Genomic DNA, 25850 nt, shown 5'->3' with positions numbered 1-25850 from the left:
AGATCATTAGTTTGTCTAGGTCAAGCCAGGTTAAGTAGCTAGCAGGAAATTGCTTAGCTCAATCCTACTGTTAAACACATTCATTTCCTTATCCAAAACAAACAAAAAAAAACCAATATATACATCTTGGTAAAAACACATAGCAAACATACTATGTGAGTAACTAAATTAAAATGCATTTCCACTACTGTAAGTTTGCTAAACTGGAAATCAATTAGGTTTTATATTAGGTAGAAAATAAACTTCAGAATCTCAAGACCCTCAAACCAGCACTTCAGACAATTCCTAAGTACAATGCTCTTTTTTTATTCCCTGCCTAAACTTTCTTTTTGGTTAGAAATTTAGTATTGAATATCAAAGTTGTTTTAACATAAACTTTCCTCATTTCATCAGGTTTACCACACTTAAATGGAGATATTTACATATTTACAGATAAATATATCAGAATCTTATATATTCTGTATATAATAATTGTATAAGACTTAATTATTACTTTATTTTATAGATAATAAAACAGAATACTGAGAGATTATATGACTTAAGTGGCCAAGCTAGGGTGACACTTTAGATCTCCAGCCTCACTCTTGGGCTTCTGCTTCTGCCATTTCTCCACTTTTGATGCTGAATTAGAATTCTCGGTGGATTTTCTAGATCAATAAGTATTTGTCAAGTCTCCTAAGGTTAAAGCACTGAACCAGGTGATAATGATGCAGGTGTGTGGCTTTAAAAAGCTGAGTAGTAAAATTCAGACTATAAACATAAACAAGGGAAAAAAATCTGTTACTGATACAATTTAAAATGCAAGCAGGGTTTTGTTTTGATGTATGCAAATCCCTTCCAGTTTTTCTTCTTTCTGTTCTACCTCAGCACTTTAATATTAGATCTAAATGCAGTAAAATAAAAAGTCAGGAAAGGGGGAACAGCTACTCATATTTTTAAAAAGTTTTTTGTCTAAACCAAAGCTAACTTACCTCTACATCTGTTTGAAAGTTAAAAAGATCTATTCTTTGCCAGTTGCTTCCATCCAGGGCTAAGATGTTCCAAGCCTGGAAGGTGGGAGGTAAAGGAAGAGGGATTGGGATGAAAGAAACACATTTATTGAGACTATTAAAGAAAGTCTTGATTAACCTTTATTTCCAAACTCCTATTTTTGATGTATATTAAGTTAATCATCAAATGCAAAATTATACCATTATGTTATATTAAGTATAAAAGATAATAAAATTTTAATTTTCAGTAATTTGAACTAAAACTCATTCTAATAAAACTTGATATTTATTGATTAAAAAATCTGGTGAATACTCTACCTTGGAAATCTGTGCACATCGGCACAAAGTTACTATATCCAAGAAGGAAAATATTCTACAGAGAGAGGAAAAAAACACAAAAACGAGATGGTGTTAACATTTCAGGATAATTATAACTTGAAAGATAAACTCTAATCCGCCACCTGGATACATAAGTTTTTTCAAGATTCCTCAATCTGAAATATACAAGTGCACTATAACTTTACATCACTACAGTGAAATATTAAGTGTTTGCATGTTCAGAAGCTATTTTGGACACACAATACAAATTACCTTAGAACTCATTAAGCTTATATTTCCCTTGTTCTAAGTAATGGACACAGGAAAGACCATAACTGGTTCTATTTGAAGACCAACTCTCTAGCATAAGCCCTCTTTTGGTGGTAGATGCACTGAACAGGCTCAGATGCCTGAGCCTCAAATAACACTGTCAAAAAAAGCTTGATGACAAAGCCCATTTGGTTTGAAGTATTTGTTTGCCTGGCAGAAAGATGGAGCTCATTAGTTGGCAAAGTCTATAAGTGATCAGTTTTTCCTAAGCAAAAGCCAAGGAGCCAGAGAACATAGGAAAGATGGGGCGGGAAGAGGTGGGGGGAAGAAAAGCAGACAGAAGCAAACAAAATCTTGGTTGGCATCAGTAATGCCTTAGAGGAAGCAGTAGCTGCCAGCATGGCAGGGGACTGAGTGAAGCCTCGACATTCTGGCAGTCAAGGAGAGGAGCTGCTGCTCATAGTATGTGAGCAAACAGCCGTGTGCGCCTCAGCACTGCAGAGTGACAGCTAAAAACAAAGGGCAGCTTTTCTGTGAGAAGAAGGGTGGACAGGGTTGAAGTCAGGAACAAGAGTAGTGCCTCAGTTTTCAGAGTCCTGGAAAGTAAATATGAGAGTCTGTGCCTCTGAGTGTGGAAGGGGGAGAGTGGTTAAGATGGCGAACAGCCACCTATAATGTTCCTCAAAATTCTTCAAAGGCAACAATCGGTGGTGAGATAAAAATCCACGGACTCAGGGAAGAAGAGTAGAATCATAAAACATGAAAGTGTTGTACCCTACAATAATGCACCCACATGCAGTACCATGGGATACTGACTGCATAGATGCCATCCTACAATATAGGCTACAATCATTTTCTAGTGAAAAGCAAAGGATAGAAGCATAATAAGGGCTACACTGACTTTAAAAGATTCAGTGGATCTTGGCTGGGCGCGGTGGCTCACGCCTGTAATCCCAGCACTTTGGGAGGCCGAGGTGGGCGGATCACGAGGTCAGGAGATCGAGACCATCCTGGCTAACACGGTGAAACCCCATCTCTACTAAAAATACAAAAAATTAGCCGGGCGAGGTGGCGGGCACCTGTAGTCCCAGCTACTCAAAAGGCTGAGGCAGGAGAATGGCGTGAACCCGGGAGGCGGAGCCTGCAGTGAGCCGAGATAGCGCCACTGCACTCCAACCTGGGCGACAGCGAGACTCCGTCTCAAAAAAAAAAAAAAAAAAGACTCAGTGGATCTTTGTACATAGAAAAATGCTGGTGGCTAAAATATGTGTACTTAAACATACATATTCAATATATTTTAGGATATCTACACATCTACCTTGCCCAACACAAAGGCTCTCCTGCCCCTAATAGCTGTGTTCTGTGACATATGACCATCCCACAGCTAGCCACATCTGATTATCAGCTCCCTACAGAAACAAACACCAAACAGAGAAACTAGCCTGGTACAGTAGAATCATATTTCATGCAGGGATTGGGTTCTAAAAGCATAAGCCAAAGGTAAAAAAAGAGTTAGCTGTTTCCCTTGAAAATACCTTAAGAGCATACCACCTTTATCACGTCTCAGTAATAACAATACTGGTAATAACAAAAATAGTTAACATTGATTATGCACCAACTATGTGCCAACCATGGTTTATATGCTAGTTCACTGCTATGAGGTGTTGTGCTATTACTATCTCCATTTTACAGATAAGGACACTGAGCATAGAGGTTAAGTAACCTGCCCAGGGCACACTGAACTAGGATTTGAACCCAGGTAGTCTGGTTCAAGAGCACAAGCCATGACCACTACATATACTGCTTTGGAACGCTTAACACAGCTGCTTTTCCCTCAGGATTGGGCTAGATCCTGAGAAAGAAAAGAAACTTTTAATCTAAGAGATGTGAGCCGCTATGTGGGCTCTAGAGTGACTGACACAAGTAGCTATAAAGTAACCTAACAATACCATATGCTTGATACTCTAACTCCTACCCCATAGTTCAACAATGTACGATCAATCACTAATCAATGCTACTTCTGGAAACCCGTAAGAGTTCCCAAAAACAACTTTTGTAATTGCCCCTCTCCTGATTCATCCTTTTTTCTTTAGAAACTCGAGCAGGATGGGCACAGTGGCTCACACCTGTAATCTCAGCACTTTGGGAGGCTGAGGCGGGTGGACCACAAGGTCAAGAGATTGAGATCAACCTGGTCAACACAGTGAAACCCCATCTCTACTAAAAATATAAAAATTAGCTGGGCGTGGTGGTGTGCACCTGTAGTCCCAGTTACTTAGGAGGCTGAGGCAGGAGAATCGCTTGAACCCAGGAGGCAGAGGTTGCAGTGAGCCGAGATCCGCCACTGCACTCCAGCCTGGCGACAGAGCGAGACTCCATCTCAAAAAAACAAAACAAAACAAACCAACTCGAGCAACTCCTTTATTCTCGGGATCACTTCCCAGTGTTACCTGAGCTGCAATCTCAAACTTGCCCCAAATAAACTCTCTAGATTAATTTTGCCTCAGTTTCCTTATTTAGGTCGACAGTGCTATTTCTTAACTGATAATAATAAATGAAGTAGTTTTCGTTTAGTGAGTATGTTGTTTGGAACAAACTGGACTCATGCTTCACTCACAAGTGAAGCAAGAGCTCACACGCTGAGACACATAGGAACCAACAGGTGCAACAGGAATTCACATTTCTCATCTCATCTCATACCTAGTTTTATGATTACTGAATGAAAAAATAGATTGCCTAAAGTATTTACATTATTTCCCATCTCTCCCCAACCTTTTAAACTGAAAGTAGTTGAATTTGCACAAATAGGCGTGGCAATACTCCAAACTACCACACTGACACCAAAGCCAATTCCTGACTCATGTTTCGACGAGTAAAAGTAATGCCCTGAATTACACAGCCTGGGATACTGTCAATAGAAACGGAGATAGCGACATGAGTGGCAAACTGAGTTCTGACTCCTTCAAAACATTCTTTCCTAGAAAGTGCTTCCTTATCTCAAATGTGATAGCCTCAGCTTTACAAGGCAAGCACTGCAATAGCACCCTGGTTATAAATAATCACAGGGGAGTAAGGGATTGGATATACTTTTGGACTTTGTATTCTGCTCCATTAGTCTGTCTTTGTGCCACTAAGGCTGTTTTAATTATGAAGCTTTAATAATAAGTCACAATGTCTGGTAACGTAAGTCCTTCAACTTTGTTCTTCTTCATCAAGATTATCTTAGTTATTCTTGATCCTCGGAATTTCCTATTAAGTTTCAGAATCAGCATATCAATTTCTACAAGAAAACTTTCTGAAATTTTTACTGGGATTGCACTGAATTTGTAGAAAATTTGGGAATAATTGAGATTTTTACAATATTAAATCTTCCAATCCAGAAACATGATCCATTTCAAAATTTATTTAGGATTTCTTTAATTTTTCACAGTAATTTTTGTAGTTTTCCAGATAGATACCTTGCTCATCTTTAGATTGTTTTTCCTGGTTATTTGACGTTCTTATTAAAATGGAATATTTTTTGGCAGCGAGTGGTGGCTCATGCCTATAATCCCAGCACTTTGGAAGGCTAAGGGAGGAGGATCACCCAAGCCCAGGAATTCGAGACCAGCATGGGCAACATGGTGAAACCCCATTGCTACAAAAAATACAGTAATTAGCCAGGTGTGGTGACGCATGCCCATAGTCCCAGCTACTCAGGAGGTGGAGATGGTAGGACTAACAGAGCCCGGGGAGGTCAAGCCTTCAGTGAGCTATGAACCTGGGCAACAGAAGGAGACCCTGTCTCAAAAAAAAGGAATATTTTAAATGTCATTCTTTAATTGCTGCCAGTATATAATGTTAATTTTCATATACTGACCCTGTACCCAACAATATTTCTAAATTTGTCCATTCATTCTGATTTTCCACATAAAATATCAATTCACCAGTGAATAATGAACTAACTTTCCTCCTTTCCAATAATTATACTTTCTATTTCTTTTGCTTATTACAGTGGCTATGATCTTCTCTAGTACAATGATAAATACAACCGATAATGAAATACATCTTTGTCTCATTCTCATCTCAGAGAAAAAGCTGCCACTATTCAATTATGATGTTTACTATAGGTTTTTTTTTCCTGCCTTTCAATTATTTTATAATTCCTTTGTTACAGACTGTAAAATATTTCCATTTGGCACATGCACAATTTTAACACCTTTCACATTTGTTTATCTCCCCTTTAATTTTTTTTTTTTCCAGATGGAGTCTCACTCTGTCACCCAGGCTGGAGTGTAGTGGCGTGATCTCGGCTCACTGCAACCTCTGCCTCCAGGTTCAAGCAATTCTCCTGTCTCAGCCTCCTGAGTAGCTGGGATTACAGGCGCCCACCACCACACCCGGCCAATTTTTGTATTTTTAGTAGAGACGGGGTTTCACTATATTGGTCAGGCTGGTCTCGAACTCCTGACCTCAGGTGATCCACCCGCCTCGGCCTCCCAAAGTGCTCGGATTACAGGCGTGAACCACTGGGCCCAGCCTAAAATTTTTATTTAAAATAAGAGCAAGTAGTATAGAGAGTTACTATATACACCCCCACCAACAGACACACATAGTTCCCCCTATCATTAACATGTTGTATTAGTGTGGTACATTTGTTACAATTAATGAACCAAATTGATACATTATTATTAACTAAGGTCTATAGTTTACAACAAAGTTCACTCTGTATTATATAGTTAGTTCTAGAGGTTTTGCCAAATGCATGTCATGTAGCTGCCATTACAGTATCACATAGAATAGTTTACTGTCAACAACATGTTTCACCTATTCATCCCTCCTCTCTTTCTCATGAACCCTTGGCCACTACCGATTTTTTTCTTCCCAGACATGGTCTCATACTGTCACCCAGGCTAGAGTATGGTGGTATGATCATGGCTCACTGCAGCCTCAACCTCTTGGGCTCACTCGATCATCCCGCCTCAGCCTCCCAAGCAGGGGAAAGTAAAGCCACACCACCATGCCCAACTAATTAGAAAAAAAAATTTTTTGAAGAGATGGGGTCTATGTTGTCCAGGTTGGTCTTGAACTCCTGGCCTTAAGCAATTCTCCTGCCTTGGCCTCCCAAAGTGCTGGGATTACAGGCGTGAGCCACTGTGCCCAGCCCCACTGATCTTTCTAATGTCGCTATAGTTTTGTGTTTTCCAGATGCCATATGATTGGAATCAAACACTACGTAACCGTTCAGACTGGCTTCTTTTACTTAGCAACATGCATTTATGGCTCCTCCAAGTCTATTCATGGCATGATAACTTACGGTGTTTTATTGCTGAAAAATATCTCATTGTGTGAATATACCAGTTTGTTTATCCATTCGCCTATTGCAGGACATCTTAGTTGCTTCTAGTTTGGGGTGATTATGAATAATTCTGCTATAAACATTTGTGTGTAGGTTTTTGTGTGGATATAAATTTTCTACTCATTTGGATAAATACTTAGGTATGTGACTGCTTGACTAAATGATACATTTATGGTTAGCTTTGCAAGAAACTGCCAAGCTGTATTCTAAACTGGCTGTACCATTTTGAATCCTCACTAACAGTGAATAAGTGTTCCTGTTGCTCTGCATCTTACCACCATTTTGTATTTAGATTTTTGAGATTTACCCATTCTAATAGGTATACAGTGGTATCTCATTGTCTTAATTTTCAATTCTCTAGTGACATATCATATTAAGCATCTTTTCTTATGCTTGTCATCTGCATATCTTCTTTGGTAAAATATCTGTTCAGATTTTTTGCCCATTTAAAAAATTGAGTTATTTCTCACTATTGAGATGGGTTTTTTTGTTTTGTTTTGTTTTGTTTTGTTTTGTTTTGAGACAGAGTCTCACTGTGTTGCCCAGGCTGGAGTGCAGTGGTGTGATCTCAGCTCACTGCAACCACCGCCTCCCGTATTCAAGCAATTCTCTGCCTCAGCCTCCTCAGTAGCTGGGATTACAGACACACATTACCACACCCAGCTAATTTTTGTATTTTTAGTAGAGACGGATTTTTACCATTTTGGCCAGGCTAGTCTTGAACTCCTGACCTTAAGTGATCTGCCCACCTTGGCCTCCCAAAGTGTTGGGATTACAGGCGTGAGCCACAGAGCCCAGCTGATTTTCTCACTGCTGAGTTTTAAAAGTTCTTTACATATATTGCACACAAGTCCTTTATTATACATTTGGCAAATATTTTCTCTCAGTCTGTGGTTTTCATTCTCTTAATAGTGCCTTTCTCAGAGAAGATGTTTTAAATTTTAATAAAGTCCAATTTACTCACTTTTCCTTTCATGAGTAGTGTTTTTGGTGTTGTATCTAAAAGTTCATTGCCAAATCTAAGGTCACCTAGATTTTCTCCTACACTTCTTCTAGAAATTTTGTGTTTTACTTTTAGGTATATGATCCATTTTGAGTTGATATTTGTGAAAGGTCTGTGTCTACCTTCATCTTTTTAAATACAGATGTCCAATTTTTCCAACACCATTTGTCGAAAAAAATGTATACTTTCTCCATTGACTTGCTTTTGCTCCTTTGTCAAAGATCAGTTGACTATTTATGTGGCTCTACTTTTAGGCTCTCTATTCTGTTTCATTGGTCCATTAATCTATTCTTTCACCAATGCTACATGTCTCGATTACTGGAGCTTTATACTAAGTCTTAAAATTAGTCCAATAGTGTCAGTCCTCTGACTTTTTTCTTATTCAGTACTGTGCTGGTTCTTCTCAGTCTTTGGCTTCTCCATATTAACTTTTTTTTTTTTTTTTTTTAAGTGATGGGGGTCCCACTATGTTGCCCAGGACAGTCTCAAACTCCTGGCCTCAAGTGATCCTCTTGCTTCAGCCTCCTGTGTTGCTGGGATTATAGGCACAAGCCACTGCACCTAGCTTGCTTTTCCAAGCAGGTTTTACGAACATCCACAAAACCAGTTTTGTGACTTAAATATACGACCGCTTGACTAAATGATACATTTATGGTTAGCTTTGTAAGAAACTGCCAAGCTGTATTCTAAACTGGCGGTACCATTTTGAATCCTCACCAACAATGAATAAGAGTTCTTGTTGCTCCTGTTGCTCACAAAGTAATTTAGTAAAATTTTGATTTGGATTTTGGTGAATCTATATATCAACTTGAAAAAAGTTAACATTTTAGCAATACTGAGTCTTCCTATCCATGAATATGTAATATCTCTTCACTTATTAAGATATTCATTGATTTCTTTCACTGGAATACTGGAGTTTTGTAGTTTTCCTCATATAGATCTTACAAAATTTTCTTCAGAATTATACTTAGGTATTTCATTTTTTTGATGCTAATGTAAACAGTATTATTTTAAATTTCAAATTCCAGTAGTTCATTACAGGTATATAGGAAAGTAATTAACTTTTGTAATATTAATGTTAGATCCTGTAACCTTACTATAATTGCTAATTAGTTACAGGAGGAGGTTTATTTATTTTATTTTTTTGAGACAGAATCTTGCTCTGTTACCCAGGCTGGAGTGCAGTGGCGCAATCTTGGCTCATTGCAATCTCTGCCTCCCGGTTCAAGCGATTCTCCTGCCTCAGCCTCCTGAGTAGCTGGGATTACAGCTACCACCACCATGCCCGGCTAATTTTTGTATTTTTTGGTAGAGATAGGGTTTCACCATGTTGGTCAGGCTGGTCTCAAACTCCTGACCTCAGGTGATCCACCTGCCTCAGCCTCCCAAAGTGTTGGGATTACAGGCGTGAGCTACCACGCCCGGCCCAGGAGGAGGTTTATTATTACTATTTTTTTTTGTCAATTCTTTGGGGGTTTCATGACATGGGCAATTGTGTCAACTGCAAACAAAGCCAATTTTATCTCTTTCCAATGTATATCTTTTCTTTTCTTGCCTTATTACATTAGATAGGACTTCCAATACTGTGATTAACAGGAGTGGTGAAAGGGGACATCTTTTTCTTTCCCAATCTCAGGGAGAAAGCATCTAGTTTCTCATCATTAAGTATGATGTTGGCTAGGCACGGTGGCTCACACCTGTAATCCCAGCACTTTGGGAGGCCAAAGTGGGTGGATAACTTGAGGTCAGGAGTTTGAGACTAGCCTGCCCAATATGTTGAAACCCCATCTCTACTAAAAAATACAAAAAAATTAGGCAGGCATGGTGGCGCAGGCCTGTAATCCCAGCTACCGGGGAGGCTGAAGCAGGAGAATCACCTGAACCTGGGAGGCAGATGTTGCAGTGAGCAGAGACTGCACCACTGCACTCCAGCCTGGGCAACAGAGCTGGACTCTGTCTTTAAAAAAAAAAAAAAAATTATGATGTTAGCTGTAGGTCTTGTGTAGATGTTCTTTATCAAATCAGGAAGTTCCTCTCTATTCCTAGTCTGATAAGTATTTTTATCACGAGTGGGTGCCACAATTTGCCAAATATTTTTTCTGCATTTTCTGATGTGACCACATGATTTTTTTCTTTAGTCTGTTGATGTAATAGATTACACTGACTTTTGAATGTTAAAATATCCTTGCATATTTGAAATAAATTCTGCTTTATTGTGGGATATAATTATTTTATACATCACTGGATTTGACTTACTAATATTTTGTTAAATATTTTTGCATCTATTTTTATGAAAAATGTTGGTCTTGAGTTCTCCTTTTTTGTAATATTTTTATATGGTCTTGGTATTATAGTAACACTGGGCACCCAGAATGAGTTAGGGAAGTCTTCTGCTTCCATTTCCCGGACAATATTATAGAGAACTGGTATCATTTCTTTCTTAAATGTTTGGTAGAATTCACCAGTAAAACCACCATCCGGGTCTGGTGCTTTCTGTTTTGGAAGGTTATTAACTATTAATTACATTTCTTTATTATATATGCCTATTCAGTTTACTTCTCTTTGTGTGAGTTTTTGGTAGTTTGTGTCTTTCAAGGAATTAGTCCTTTCCATCTAAGTTATCAAATTTGTGAACATGAGATCAAAGCCATAATAAAAAGTCACTAAAGTAAAGAAAAGCTCAGGACTTCATGGCTTCACTGCTGAATTCTGCCAAACATTTGAAGAAAAATTAATACCAATCCCACTCAAACTATTTCAAAAAACAGATGAAGAGGGAATACTTCCAAACTCATTCTACAAGGCCAGTATTACCCTGATACCAGAACCAGACAAGACCAAAAATAGAAAACTACAGGCCAACATCTCTGATGAATATTGATGCAAAAATTCTCAACAAAATACTAACAAACCAAATTCAACAACACATTAAAATGATCATTCATCATGAACACGTGAGAGTTATCCCAGGGATGCAAGGATGGTTCAACATATGCAAATCAATCAATGTGATGCATCATATCAACAGAATGAAGGACAAACACCATATGATCAATTCAATTGATACTGAAAAAGCACCAGATAAAATTCAACCTAACTTCAGGATAAAACCCCTCAACAAACTAGGTATAGAAGGAACATACCTCAACATAATAAAAACCACACAGAACAGACTCACAGCTAGTATCATACTGAATGCAGAAAAACTGAAAGCCTTTCCTCTAAGATCAAGGATGACCACTTTTACCACTGTTATTCAACATAGTACTGGAAGTCCTAGCTAGAGCAACAGATAAGGGAAAGAAATAAAGGGCATCCAAATTGGAAAGGAAGAAGTCACATTATCCTTGTTTGATGATGATATGATCTTATATTTGGGAAAACCTAAACATTCCACCAAAAAATGATTAGCACTGATAAACAAATTCAATAAAATTGCAGGATACAAAGCCAACATACAAAAATCAGTAGCATTTCTATATGTCAACAGTGAAGAATATGAAAAAGAAATTTAAAAAGTAATCCCATTTACAAGTCACAAATAAAATTAAATAACATTAAATAAGGAATCAGGCAAAGAAGTGAAAGATCCCTACAATAAAAATATAAAACACTAATGAAATAAATTAAAAAGAACACACACAAAAAAACAGAAAGATATTGATATTCCATGTTCATGGGTTAGAAGAATCAATTGTTTTGTTTTGTTGTTGTCACCCAGGCTGAAGTGCAGTGGTGCGATCTCAGTTCACTGAAACTTCTGTCTCCTGGGTTTAAGTAAGAATCAATATTGTTAAAATGTCCATATTACCCAAAGCAAATGACAGACTTAATGCAATCCCTATCAAAATATGAATGACAATCTTCACAAAAATAGAATAAAAATAATCCTAAAATTTATACGGAATCACAAAAGACCCAGAATATAGCCAAAGCTATCCTGAGCAAAAAGAACAAAACTGGAGGAATCACATTACCTGACTTCAAATTATACTACAGAGCTATAGTAATCAAAACAGCATGGTACTGCCATAGAAACAGACACATATGGAACAATAGAGAAGCCAGAAACAAATCCATATACCTATAATAAACTCAAAGTTCCCAAGAACATATCCTGGAGAAAAGACAGTCTCTTCAATAAATGGTGTTGGGAAAACTGGATATCCATATGCAGAAGAATGAAACTAGACCCCTATCTCTCACCATATACAAAAATCAAATTAAAATGGATTAAAGACTTAAATCTAAGACCTTTAACTATGAAAATATTACATGAAAGCATTGGGGGAAATGCTCCAGGACATTGTTTTGGGCAAACATTTCTTGAGTAATACCCCACAAGCACAGGCAACTAAAGCAAAAATGGACAAATGGGATCACATCAAGTTAAAAAGCTTCTGCACAGCAAAGGATACAATCAACAAAGTGAAGAGAAAACCCACAGGATGGGAAAAAATATTTGCAAACTACACATCTGACAAAGGATTAATAACCAGAATATATAAGGAGCTCAAACAACCCTATAGGAAAAAAAAATCTAACAATCCAATTTAAAAATGGGCCAAAGATCTGAATAGGCATTTCTCAAAAGAAGACACAAATGGCAAACAGGTATATGAAACGGTGCTCAACATCACTGTTCATCAGAGAAATGCAAATCAAAATACAACGAGATATCATTTCACCCCAGTTAAAATGACTTATATCCAAAAATCAGACAATAACAAATGCTGGCAAGGATGTGGAGAAAAGGGAACCCTCACACACTGTTGGTGGGAAAGTAAATTAATACAACTGTTATGAAGAACAGTTTGGAGGTTCCTCAAAAAAACTAAAAACAGAGCTCCCATATGATCCAGCAATTCCACTGCTGGGTATATACCCAAAAGAAAGTAAATCAGTATATCGAAGAGATATCTGCACTCCCATGTTTGTTGTGGCACTGTTCACAATAGCCAAGATTTGGAAGCAACTTAAGTGTCCATCAGCAGACGAATGGATTAAGAAAATGTGGGACATATGTACAATGGATACATTCATCCATACATATCCAACATATATCCATCCAACATCCAACATATATACATTCAGCCATACAAAGAATGAGATCCTATCATTTACAACAACATGAATGGAACTGGGGGTCATTATGTCAAGTGAAATAAGCCAGGCACAGACAGACAAACTTCACATGTTCTCACTTCTTTGTGGAGGCTGAAAATTAAAACAATTGAACTCATGGGGGTAGAGAGTAGAAGAATGGTTACTAGAGGCTGGGAAGGGTGAGGGCAGGAGGATGTGGAGGGGACATAGGGATGGTTAATGGGTAAGAAAAGTAGTTAGAAAGAACGAATAAGACCTAGTATTTGATAGCACAACAGAGTGACTATAGTCAATAATAAATTCTACACTTAAACATACAAGAGTATAATTGGTTTGTAACACAAAGGATAAATGCTTGAAGGGACGGATATCCCCATTTACCCTGATATGATTATTATACACTGCATGCCTGTATCAAAGTATCTCATATACCCCATAAATATATATGCTTACTGTGTATCCACAAAATTTTTTTTTAAATCTGAACACAGAGTTGTTGATAATATTCCTTTATTATCCTTCTAATGCCCATGTGACCAGCAACAACAATCCCTTTCATTTTTGATCTTGGTACTTCAGTTCTTCTTTTATCTTGGTTAGTCTGACTAAAGGATTAGCAATTTTACTGAACATTTCAAAGAACTGGCTTTTGGTTTCACTTATTTTCTCCATTGTTATTAATTTCCTTAATTTCTACTCCTTTTTATTTTTTAAAGCTTATTTATTTACTTATTTATTTATTTTTAGAGACGGGGTCTCGCTATGTCACCCAGGATGGAGTACAGTGGGGTGATCATAGCTCACTGTAACCTTGAAATCCTGGGCTCAAGGGATCCTCCTGAGTAGTTAGGACTACAGGCACATGCCACCATCCCCAGCTAATTTTTTTTTTTCTTGATAGAGATGGGGTCTCACTATGTTTGCTTGGTCTTGAACTCACGATCTCACACAATCCTCCTGCCTCAGCCCATTATTTCATTTCTTTAGCTTGCTTTAGACTTCTATTGCCCTGTTTCCTCTAATTTCCTAAAATGGAGGCTTAGATTCTTGATTTTATTTTTATTTTTTATTTTTTTGTGAGATGGAGTTTCACTCTTGTTGCCCAGACTGGAGTGCAATGGCACGATCTCAGCTTACTGCAACCTTCGCCTCCCAGGTTAAGCGATTCTCCTGCCTCACCCTCCCAAGTAGCTGGGATTACAAGCACCTGTCACCACACCTGGCTAATTTTGTATTTTTAGTAGAGACAGGGTTTCAACCATGTTGGCCAGGCTGGTCTCAAACTCCTGACCTCAGGTGATCCACCCACCTTGGCCTCCCAAAGTGCTAGGATTACAGGCATGAGCCACCACACCTGGCCAGATTCTCAATCTTAGATCTTTATTTTTTCTAATGTATTCATTCAATGCAGTAAATCTCCCTCTAAGCACTGCTTCCTACAAAGTTTGGTAAGTTGTATTTTCATTCTCATTTAAAAATATTTTTGCTTTTAAGACCTTTTCTTTGACCCATGTATTATTTAGAAATGTGTTGTTTAATCTCCAAATATTTTGGGAATTTTTGGCTTTCTGTTATTGATTTCTAGTTTAACTCATTGTGGTCTGTAGGAACATTTTGTATGCTATTCTTTTAAATGAGTTGAGTGTTTTATGACTTAGAATGTGGTCTATCTTGGTGAATGTTCCATATAACCTTAAGAGGAATGTGTATTTTGTTGTTGTTGGATAAAGCATTCTATAAATGTCTATCAGTTCTAGTTAACTGATGTTACTGTATATTCTTCAGGATTTCTGCATTATGTTCACAAGAAAGTCTGGTCTGTATATTTCCTTTCTTATAATGTCCTGGTAGGTTTTGATACCAGAATTATCCTAGTCTCATAAAATGAATTAGAAAATGTAGTAGGTTGAATGATGTGTGCCCCACTACCACCAAAAAAAGATGTATTTGTGACCTAATCAACAGAACCTGTGAATATTACCTTACTTGGAAAAAGGGTTGTGCAAACGTAATTAAGTTAGGGATCTTGAGAAGAGAAGGAGGCAATGTGACCACAGAGGCCCAGACTGATGAGTGACACAGCCAAAAAAAGAATGGATTCTCCCCTAGAGCCTTCAGAGGGGGCATAACCATGCTCACACTTTGAATTCAGACTCTGATCTCCAGAACTGTTGTTTTAAGTCATCCAGTTTGTGGCAATTTGTTAAAGCAGACATAGAAAATGAATATAGTAAATGTTCTTTTTCTGTTTTCTGGGAAAAGTTAACATAAGACTTTCATTGTTTCTATCTTAACATCTGAAAGGATTCCCAAGTGAAGCCATCTGGGCATGGAGGTTGCTTTGTGGATTCAATTTCTTTAACAGATACAGGAATCTTCAGACTTTGGTTTCTTCTGGTGTCAGTGTTAGTAATCCTGTAGATGTTATAGTGATGTCCCCCTTTTGTTTCTGGTATCAGTTATTTGTGCCTTCTTTCTTTTCTTAATCAGTTTTAGTAAGAATTTATCAATTAATCTTTTCAAAAGACCACTTTTGGGCTTTGTTAACTTTCTCTGTTGTGTTTGTTTTGTATTTCCTTAATTTTGGTTTAATTTTCTTTCCTACCACTTTCTTTAGTTTTAATTTATTTCCTTCCAATTGATGCTCAAGTAATTGATTTTCAGTTTTACTACTTTTTCTTTTAATAGTGTATAATTTTACTTACCACATTTTTGGTTTTCAATCCATCTGGAATTTATTTTTGAACACTTACACATTGATTTATGATTTTATCTCAATCCTATACTAAGTACCTATGTGTGAATAGATCTGTTACTATACTCTTTATTCTTTTCCATTGTATTGTTCCAATATAGCATCATGATAATTACTATAGATTTATAATGTTAGTATGCAAAAGGATAAGTCCACTCAATTTGATCTTCTTCAAAACTGTATTAGCTATATGGCCATCTTCACTACTATACACAAATATGAAAATCAATTTGTTAAATTATCCAAAGCTTCCTCCCGAGATTTTGACTGAAATTACATTTTTACAGTGTTGAGTCTTCACATCCAGGAATGTGGTTTACTTTGATATTTATTTGCATTTTGTTTTTAGTCTTTCAGAAAATTTTAATTTTCTCCATAAAAGTCACATTTTTTGTTCAGTTTATTCCAGGGTATTTTATAGCTTTTTTTCTTTTTTTTTGTATTATGAGTGTTATCTTTTTTTGTATTTTTTTCCTATTAATTGAAACTGATTGTTAGATATTAATTGTATATCCAATAATATTACCATACTCATATTTATTGATTCTTTTGATACTGCTATGTAGAACAGATTGTCTCAATTAATGATACCTTATAAATGCTTATATATTTTTTATTTCTGTTTCTTGTCTAATTTCATTGGCTAGTATGTCTGGAAAACACTATGTAACAAAAGTAATAGACTATCCGTAACATTTGCAGGCCCAAGGGCAAGAGTACAAATGAAGACCTACATACCACAGGTTTAAATATTTTAAAGTTATAAAAATCAAGCTAGCAAACTCTTAAATATGCTCTTTCTTCCCTCCTTGACAGATGTATCTTCATAATGACAAAATTTTTTAAAAACTGGAAAATTACACTATATAATTGGAAGTAGGCAAAATACTAAAGATTGAATATAATTATTATTACACATGACTAGGTGTCCTGCTGAAGAGTTTGTAGTATTTGAATAATAGAATAAAGATACATAGACTCCTAAATATTGTATTTCTAATCAATAAAATATTTTTATTGCTTCATTATGTTGTTATAATTAAGGTTTTTACATAATTTTTGTTCCATTATTATTAATGCCAAATTAGACAACTTTTCTTGAGTCATGTAGTTTTTAAAGTTTTTTATTAATCTAAATTTGGAGAAACTTCACTAGGCTGAAGTTTCAGTTGGGGACAGCAACTGAAATCTATAAAAATAATACTTAAGATTAGAAAGTATACCAAAAGTGTCTGCATATATGTTCAAGTTTAGTAACAAAGTAGCATAAGAGAAATTAAATTGTTATTGCACAAAATTATATTGGTATTATGCTACATGTTAGAACTAGACCTACATATACATAGATTTAAGTGTCATATGAATATTACAAAATGTTCTTTAACTATCATATATATATAATTGCTTTGAATACTATACTAATTCATGAGTACCTGCAAAATCATAAATTATAACATGCATATAAGCAAAAAAAACAGATGGCTGAAAATATTAAGAAGTTATATTTGTTGGCCGGGCACGGTGGCTCACGCCTGTAATCCTAGCACTTTGGGAAGCCAAGGTGGACGGATCACGAGGTCAGGAGATGGAGACCATCCTGGCTAAAACGGTGAAACCCCGTCTCTACTAAAAATACCAAAAAAAAAAAAAAAAAAACAGCTGGGCGTGGTGGCGGGCGCCTGTAGTCCCAGCTACGCTACTCGGGAGGCTGAGGCAGAATGGCGTGAACCCGGGAGGCGGAGCTTGCAGTGAGCCGAGATCGCGCCACTGCACTCCAGCCTAGGTGACAGAGCGAGACTCTGTCTCAAAAAAAAAAAAAAAAAAAAAAAAAAAAAAAAGAAGTTATATTTGTTTTGCAAGAATCTAATGGCTGTAAATAAATCAAAATAATTTTATTCTGCATTTGGTCCTCAAGTTGGGAAACAAAGTATTAAAAAGAATTGTTAGAAATTTACTCTTCGTCATAAATACCTAAAAGCAAAAAATGCTTAGAGTGTTGGTTCAGAATGGCCGTATTTAAAATAAACACAGTAACAAATGCTAACATTATCAGAAACTCTATTTTTTCGTAATTGAGGAATTTTGGTTAAAAATGACTTATGAGAGTGAAAAAAGTAGAACAAGTCTACTAAAAGCAAGTCTTAATGTTTTTTCTTCTTTATCATTCATAAGCTTTAAATTTTTAATATATATATATTTTAAATCTTCCTATTAGCAATATAATGGATATAAAGAAAACTGCATAGGCCGGGCACAGTGGCTTATACCTGTAATCCCAGCACTTTGGGAGGCTGAGGCGGGAGGCTCACGAGGTCAGGAGATTAAGACCATCCTGGCTAACACGGTGAAACCCCGTCTCTACTAAAAAATACAAAAAATTAGCCGGGCGTAGTATCAGGCACCTGTAGTCCCAGCTACTCCAGAGGCTGAGGCAGGAGAATGGCGTGAACCTGGAAGGCGGAGCTTGCAGTGAGCCGAGATCGTGCCACTGCACTCCAGCCTGGGAGACAGAGCAAGACTCCGTCTCAAAAAAAAAAAAAAAAAAGATAAAGAAAAGAAAGGAAAACTGCATAAATGAAAAATGAAATGTATAGACCAATGACTTATAAGGCAAACATCTTATTATAACACCTACCCTGGTCAAGAAATAGAACTTTGTCAGCAACCCCAGAGCCCCAGAGCCTTCACCTGTCCTTTTTTTTTTTTTTTTTTTTTTTCCTGAGACGGAGTCTTGCTCTGTCACCTAGGCTGGAGAGCAGTGGCGCCATCTCAATTCACTGCAACCTCCACCTCCCGGGTTCAAGCAATTCTCCTGCCTCAGCCTCTCCAGTAGCTGGAATTACAGGCACCCACCACCATGATCGGCTAATTTTTGTATTTTTAGTAGAGATGGGGTTTCACCATGTTGGCCAGGTTGGTCTCAAACTCCTGACCTCAGGTGATCTGCCTGCCTCAGCCTCCCAAAGTGCTAGGATTACAGGCGTGAGCCACCATGCTGGGCCCCACATGTCCCTTTCTAATCACAGTACTACCCTCCATTTCTTCTAAGTGTAGGCACCATCCTGCCACTTTATACTCTTCACTTTCTTTTCTGTATTTATTATTCAATTTATCATCTCTAAACATTATAGCTCCTGGTTCTCATTTGTCCTTTTAAATCTTTCAATCTGCAGGCACCCTCCTTCCATCCCTTCTTTCTCCCCCATGCAAGTTATTTGTTGAAGAAATCAGATTATCCTGTAGTTTCTCACAGTCTGGATTTTATTAATTGTACCCATGTTAATGTTGTTTAATATTCCTCTGGCCTCTGTATTTTCTACAAATTGGTAGTTGGATCTATAAAATTGATCAATTTCAGGTTTGACTTTTTTGTCTGAGCAAGACTACTTCACAAATGGTATTTTTCATCAGGAGGCACATAATATTTGGTTACTTCTCCTTTTGTAATAAGAAGCATTGAAAGCTCAGTGACTAGATCTATTAATTTATTAAGAGCTGTAAAATGGTGACATTCTAAATTCAACATTCTTCTTTCATTTGGAGTTCCTCACTAAAGAAAAGTCTCATCCACTGTTCTTTTACTTACTAGTACAGTTTGCATAAGATAGGCAATTTAAATACTTCCTCTTCTTTTTTTTTTTTTTTTTTTTTTTTGGGCAAAGGAATCTCACTTGGTCACCTAGGCTGGAGTGCAGTGGCACACAATCTCAGCTCACTGCAACCTCCATCTCCCAGGTTCAAGCAAATCTCCTGCCTCAGTCTCCCTAGGATCTGGGATTACAGGCATGTGCCACCACACCCAGCTAATTTTTGTATTTTTAGTAGAGACGGGGTTTCACCATGTTGGCCTGGCTGGTCTCGAACTTCTAACCTCAAGTGATCTGCCTGCCTCGGCCTCCCAAAGTGGTAGGATTACAGACATGAGCCACAGCGCCCAGCCTACTTCCTTCTTTTTTTTTTTTTTTTTTTTTTTAATCAAAATAACCCATTTTGGCCAGGGGGAGGCTCTTCATGTTGGTTCCTGAGTACCTTTCAAAGAACTCTTTCAGTTTACTTGGCTGTCTTTTACAATAAGGTGTTCTAGTTCCATCTCATACATTTTCTGCCTCAGTCCTACAATCAGCCTTTGTCCAAGCCCTGGTTTCTTTTTGTGGAAAATAATATTTCAAGACCATAATATGGATGCTAAGGCAGCACAATGATATCGGATGGTCATTATTGCATGTTCAGTAGCCAGATCTAAAATACGCCCCCACAAAAATGATTTTTTATTAAAGTATAACATTCATCCACTAAGGTATACAAATCCTAGGTATAAAAATACATATACAAACTTATAATACCACTATCTCACTCTCGACATAGAACACATTCAACACCAAAAGATTCTGTTTTGCCTTTTTATGCACCCAGAGATAAACAAAATACATCCCCTCCCAGAAGTAAACACCTCTGAATTTTATTACCATAGATTAATTTCAACTGATATTGCACTTCACATAAATGGAATCAAACACTATGCAGTCTTTGGTTTTACTTTTTCACCTTTAACTGTCTGTGAAATTTGTCCATGCTGTTGCATGATGCAGCAGTTTGTACTTTTTGCTCTGTAGTGTTCCCTTAATGAATATACTACAATTTATTTTTCCATGCTGTGGTTAAGTGACATTTAGGTTGTTTCTAACTTTTAGCTATTATGAGCAAAACTGCTATAAATATCCTTGTGCACATCTTTTGGTAGACACATACATTTATTTCACCTGAACATATACCTAGGAAGAAACTGTTAGACTAAAGGGTTGGAGAGTATTTACTTTTAGCAGTGTTTTTTTTCCTTCCAACTTTCATTTTGGGTTTGGTGGGGTACATGTGCAGGTTTGTTACATGGGTAAATTGTGTGTCACTGGAGTTTGGTGTACAAATTATTTTGTCATCCAGGTAATGAGCATAGTATCCAACAGGTAGTTTTTCAGTCCTCACCCTCCTCTTACCCTCCACCCCAAGAAGGCCTCCATGTCTCCTGTTTCCTTTTCTGTGTCCACATATGCTCAATGTTTAGTTCTCACTTATTTAAAAAAATGCAGTATTTGGTTCTGTGTTCCTGAATTAGTTTGCTTAGGATAATGGCCTCCAGCTGCAACCATGCTGAATGGTAGTTCTGTTTTAAGTTGTTTGAGAAATCTCCAAACTGCCTTCTACAGTGGCTGAACTAGTTTACAGTCCCACCAGTAGTGTATAAGGATTCCCCTCTCTCTGCATCCTCATCAGCATCTGTTTTTTGAATTTTAATAATAGCTGTTCTGACTGGTGTGAGATGGTATCTCATTGTGGTTTTGGTTTGCATTTCTCTAATGATTAATGATGTTGGGCTTTTTTTCATATTCTTGTTGGCCACATGTATGTCTTCTTTTGAAAAGTGTCTGTTCATGTCCTTTGCCCACTTTTTAAAAGGGTTTTTTTGTTTGTTTGTTTGTGAATTTATTTAAATTCCTTATAGGTTCTGGATATTAGGCCTTTGTCAGGTGCATAGTTTGCAAATATTTTCTCCCATTCTGTAGGGTGTCTGTTTACTCTGTTGATAGTTTCTTTTGCTGTGCAGAAGCTCTTTAGTTTACGTAGGTCCCACTGGTCAATTTTTGGTTTTGCTGCAATTGCTTTTGGAGCCTTCGTCATGAAGCATTTGCCAGGGCCTATGTCCAGAATGGTATTTCCTAGGTTTTCTTCAGGGATTTTATATTTTTAGGTTTTACATTTAAGTCTTTAACCCACCTTGAGCTGATTTTTGTATATAGTAAAAGGAAGGATTCTAGTTTCAATCTTATGTATATGGCTAGCCAGTTATCCCAGCACCATTCATTGAATAGGGAATCCTTTCCCCATTGCTTGTTATTGGTGGCTTTGTCAAAGATCACATGGTTGTAGGTGTGCAGCTCTATTTATGGGTTCTCTAACCTATTCCATTGGTCTAAGTGTCTGTTTTTGTATCAGTACCATGCTGTTTTCGTTATTGTAGCCTTGCAGTATAGTTTGAAGTCCATGTGGGTGATACCTCCAGTTTTGTTCTTTTTGCTTAGGATAGTTTTGGCTACTCAGACTTTTTTTTTCATTCCATATGGATTTTATTTATTATTATTTTTTGAGATGAAGTCTCACTCTGTCACCCAGGCTGGAGTGCAGTGGCGTGATCTTGGCTCACTGCAACCTTCACCTCCCACCTTCAAGTGGTTCTCCTGCCTCAGCCTCCCATGTAGCTGAGATTACAGGTGCCTGCCACCACATCAAGCTAATTTTTGTATTTTTAGTAGAGAGAGGGTTTCACCATGTTGGCCAGGCTGGTCTTGAACTCCTGATCGCAAGCGATCTACCTGCCTTGGCCTCCCAAAGGGCTAGGATTACAGGTGTGAGCCACCATGCCTGGCCCCACATTAACTTTAGAATATTTTTTTCTAATTCTGTGAAAAAAAAGGCATTAGCATTTTGATAGGAATAACATTGAATCTGTAAATAGCTTTGGATAGTATGGCCATTTTAACAATATTGATTCTTCCCATCCATGAGCATGAAATGTTTTTTTGTTTGTGTCATCTCTCATTTCTTTCAGCAGTGTTTTGTAATTCTCATTGTAGAGATCTTTCACTTCCCTAGTTAGCTGTTTTGCTAGGCATTTTATTCTTTTTCTGGCTATTGTGAACAGTATTGCGTTCTTGATTTGGCTCTCAGCTTGGACGTTATTGGTCTACAGAAATGCTACTGACTTTTGTACATTAAGTTGGTATCCTGAAACTTCGCTGAAGTTGTTTATCAGATCTAAGAGCCTTTGGGCAGACACTATGGGGTTTTCTAGGTATAGAATCAAATTATCTGAGAAGACTGATAGTTTGACTTCCTTTCTTCCTACCTGGATCCCTTTTCTTTCTTTCTTTTGCCTGATTGCTATGGCTAGAACTTCCCATTTAGTAGTTATTGCTAAAAGTTTTCTAAACTATAACAGTTGTGCCAATTTATCCTTCCATGAATAATTTACAAGAGTTTCAATTATTTCACACCTTTATGGATACTTGGTATTGTTGGTCTTCTTAACACCATCCTTCTAATAAGGATATAATGATATTGTATTATTTAAAATGTATTTCCCTGCTACAAGTGATGATTGTGAGCACCTATTCATATAATTATTGGCCATTTTGGGGGTTTTTGTGAAGCACTCATTTTTTTAAATTGGGTTTCTTTTTCTGATAGATTTGTAGTTCTTTTTATCTTTTGGATATGAGCACTTTGTTGGATAGGATGTCTTCTCTGTCCTTTCACATTATCTTAAGGTTTTTTTGTTTGTTTGTTTGTTTTTGAGACGGAGTCTTGCTCTGTCGCCCAGGCTGGAGTGCAGTGGCGCAATCTCGGCTCACTGCAACCTCCACCTCCCGGGTTCAAGCGATCCTCCTGCCTCAGCCTCCCGAGTAGCTGGGACTACAGGCACACGCCGCCACGTCCAGCTGATTTTTTGTATTTTAATAGAGATGGGGTTTCATCGTTTTGCCCAGGCTGGTCTCGAACTCCTGAGCTCAGGCAATCCGCCCACCTCGGCCTCCCAAAGTGCTAGGATTACAGACGTGAGCCACTGCGCCAGGCCAAGGTTGTTTGTTTGTTTTGAGACAGAGTCTAGCTCTGTCACCAAGCTGCAGTGCAGTGGTGGGATCTCGGCTCACTGCAACCTCTACCTCCTGGGTTCAAGCGATTCCCCTGCCTCACCCTCCTGAGTAGCTGGGACTACAAGTGCACGCCACCACACCCAGCTAATTTTTACATTTTTAGTAGAGATGGAGTTTCACCATATTGGCCAGGATGGTCTCGATCTCTTGGCCTCGTGATCCACCCACCTCGGTCTCCCAAAGTGCCAGGATTATAAGCATGAGTCACTGCGCTCAGTTGTTTTTTAATAAACAATTTCCTACTTCAGTGAAGTCCAATTTATCAATTATTTTAAATGGTTATGAAGATACAGTATGTCATGTTGACGAAATATTTGCTTACCCTGAGATTATAAAGATATTCTTGTGTATTTTCTTCTAGAATCTGTTTTACCTTTCACATTTATATCTATGAACTATTTCAGATTACTCTTTGCATATGTTCTGAGGTAGGTATCAAGGTTTGTTTTTCTTTTCCATGTTTTTTTTCAATTGACCCAGCACATTTTACTGAAAGGTCATCCTTTCCCCATAGAAATGTAAGGGTACTTTGGTAAATCAGGTGATCCTTATATGGGGGTCTGTTTCTGGAATCTTTTGTGCCAATAAATTATGTATTTTTCCTCACACTAATATACTACTCTGTGTTGATTACTGCAGTTTTATAATATGCCTTTACATATGGCCATGTAAGTCCTCAACTTTGCTCTTGTTCTTTGTGATTGTGTTGGCTATTCTAGGACATTTCTATTTCCATATAACATTTAGAAACAGTTTACCAACTTCCAAACAAAAAACTCTGCTAGGGTTATGATTAAAATTGTTTCGAATCTGTAACTCAGGCTCCCAATCCATAAACATGACGTACCTCCTGATTTATTTAGGTTATTGAAATTTCTCTCCAGCAACATTTTTTAGGTCTTAAACTTGCAAATCTAACAAAGTTATATTTAGTCTTAGGTAATTTTATGCTAGTGTGAATAGCACAAAATTATCTCCCCTGCCCGCTTCTTCTGAGACAGGGTCTCACTCTGTCATCCAGGCTTTTAATAGGAGTGTTAGACTCATTTACATTTAATCATGAATATGGTTCAAATCTAACATCTTGCTATTTGTTTCCCATTTGTCCCATCTACTTTTTGTTCCTTTGTTCCCCTTTTCAGACCTCTTTTGAAATAATTAAATATTTATGCATATTTTATGGTTGTTCTACATGAAATACGTCCCTTTTGCAGTCTACCTTGAAATAATATTATGCTTCTATCACCAGAATAACAGTGTATTTTCCTCTAATCCTTTCCTGTCTTTCTAAATTTTTATTTTTTGAGACAGGGTCTCGTTCTGTCACCCAGGCTGGAGTGCAGTAGTGCAATCTTGGCTCACGGTTTTTCCTATCTTGTGTGCTACTGTCAAATATTTTACTTGACAACAATACATCATTATGATCTTTGCTTTAAACAGTTAATTATCTTTTAAAGGACTTTTAAAAAGAGGTAAAAGGGATTTCATATTTATCACATACTTAGCATTTATGGTGTTCTTCATTCCTTCCTACATATCTGGGTTTCATTTCTCTTCACCTAAAGAATTTCCTTTAGTATTTCTTAGTTGTGGAAATGTTAGTGATGAATCCTCTCAGTTTTTTTTTTCACCTAAAAAGCTTTTATTTTTAGAAGAGAATTTTGAATATATATATAATTTGGCTTTCAATTATTTCTTAAAGGTCAGTGAGTATTCTTCTTCTTATTATTATTATTATTATTTGAGACAAGGTCTCACTCTGTTGCCCAGGCTGGAGTGCAGTGGCGTGATCTCAGCTCACTGCAATCTCTGCTTCCCAGGCTCAAGTGATTCTCCCGCCTCAGCCTCCCAGGTAGCTGAGACCACAGGTATGCACCACCATGCCCGACATACATATTTTTTTTGGTGGGGGGAGGGGTATTTTTGGTACAGATGGGGTTTCACTATGCTGCTCAGGCTGATCTTAAATTTCTGAGCTCAAACATTCCACCTGCCTCAGCTTCCCAAAGTGCTGGGATTACAGATGTGAGCCACTGCACCCAGCCTCCCCCCAATTTTTTTAGCCTTCCTTCTTCTGTCGTCTTAAGCTTTCTCTTTATCGTTGGTTTCTAGTAATTTAATAGTGTGCATAGGTGTTTCATATTTACTCACTGAGCTTCTTGAATCTGTGGGTTGTCTGTCATCAGATTTGGAATTTGGGGGACATTATTTGTTCAAACACTTGTATGCCCTATTCTTTCTCTTCTCTTTTTTGCACCTCCAATTATATGTATGTTAGACCTCTTAATATTTCCTTACACGTTGCTGATGATGTGTTAATTTTTTCTATCTTTTTTCTCTTTGTGCATCAGTTTGAATAATTTCT

At 37.4% G+C, this 25850-nt stretch overlaps 1 protein-coding gene across 26 annotated transcripts in view; it reads right to left on the bottom strand.

Moving 5' to 3' along the window:
- The window catches only part of FBXL2 (F-box and leucine rich repeat protein 2), a 145674-nt gene that overhangs the window by 62370 nt on the left and 57454 nt on the right, over positions 1–25850 (bottom strand). For 23 of the 26 annotated variants that reach the window (NR_146122.2, NR_146121.2, NR_146123.2 and 20 more), the window contains 2 exons: positions 1308–1362; positions 972–1046 (listed from right to left, as the gene is read on the bottom strand). The exons of the other annotated variants lie outside the window; for them this stretch is intronic. Coding sequence is in view for 2 of the 23 variants with exons in the window: in NM_001349316.2 (NP_001336245.1) it covers positions 972–1046; positions 1308–1362 (130 nt within the window). In the remaining 21 variants the exon portion in view is untranslated. The remainder of the gene's footprint in view (positions 1–971; positions 1047–1307; positions 1363–25850) is intronic. 26 annotated transcript variants of the gene reach the window in all.

This window comes from Homo sapiens, chromosome 3 (genome assembly GCF_000001405.40).
Source record: "Homo sapiens chromosome 3, GRCh38.p14 Primary Assembly".
NCBI classification, from domain to species: Eukaryota; Metazoa; Chordata; class Mammalia; order Primates; family Hominidae; genus Homo; species Homo sapiens.
The sequence above is the reverse complement of the archived record's forward strand: the minus strand, read 5'-3'. Positions and strand labels throughout refer to the sequence as shown.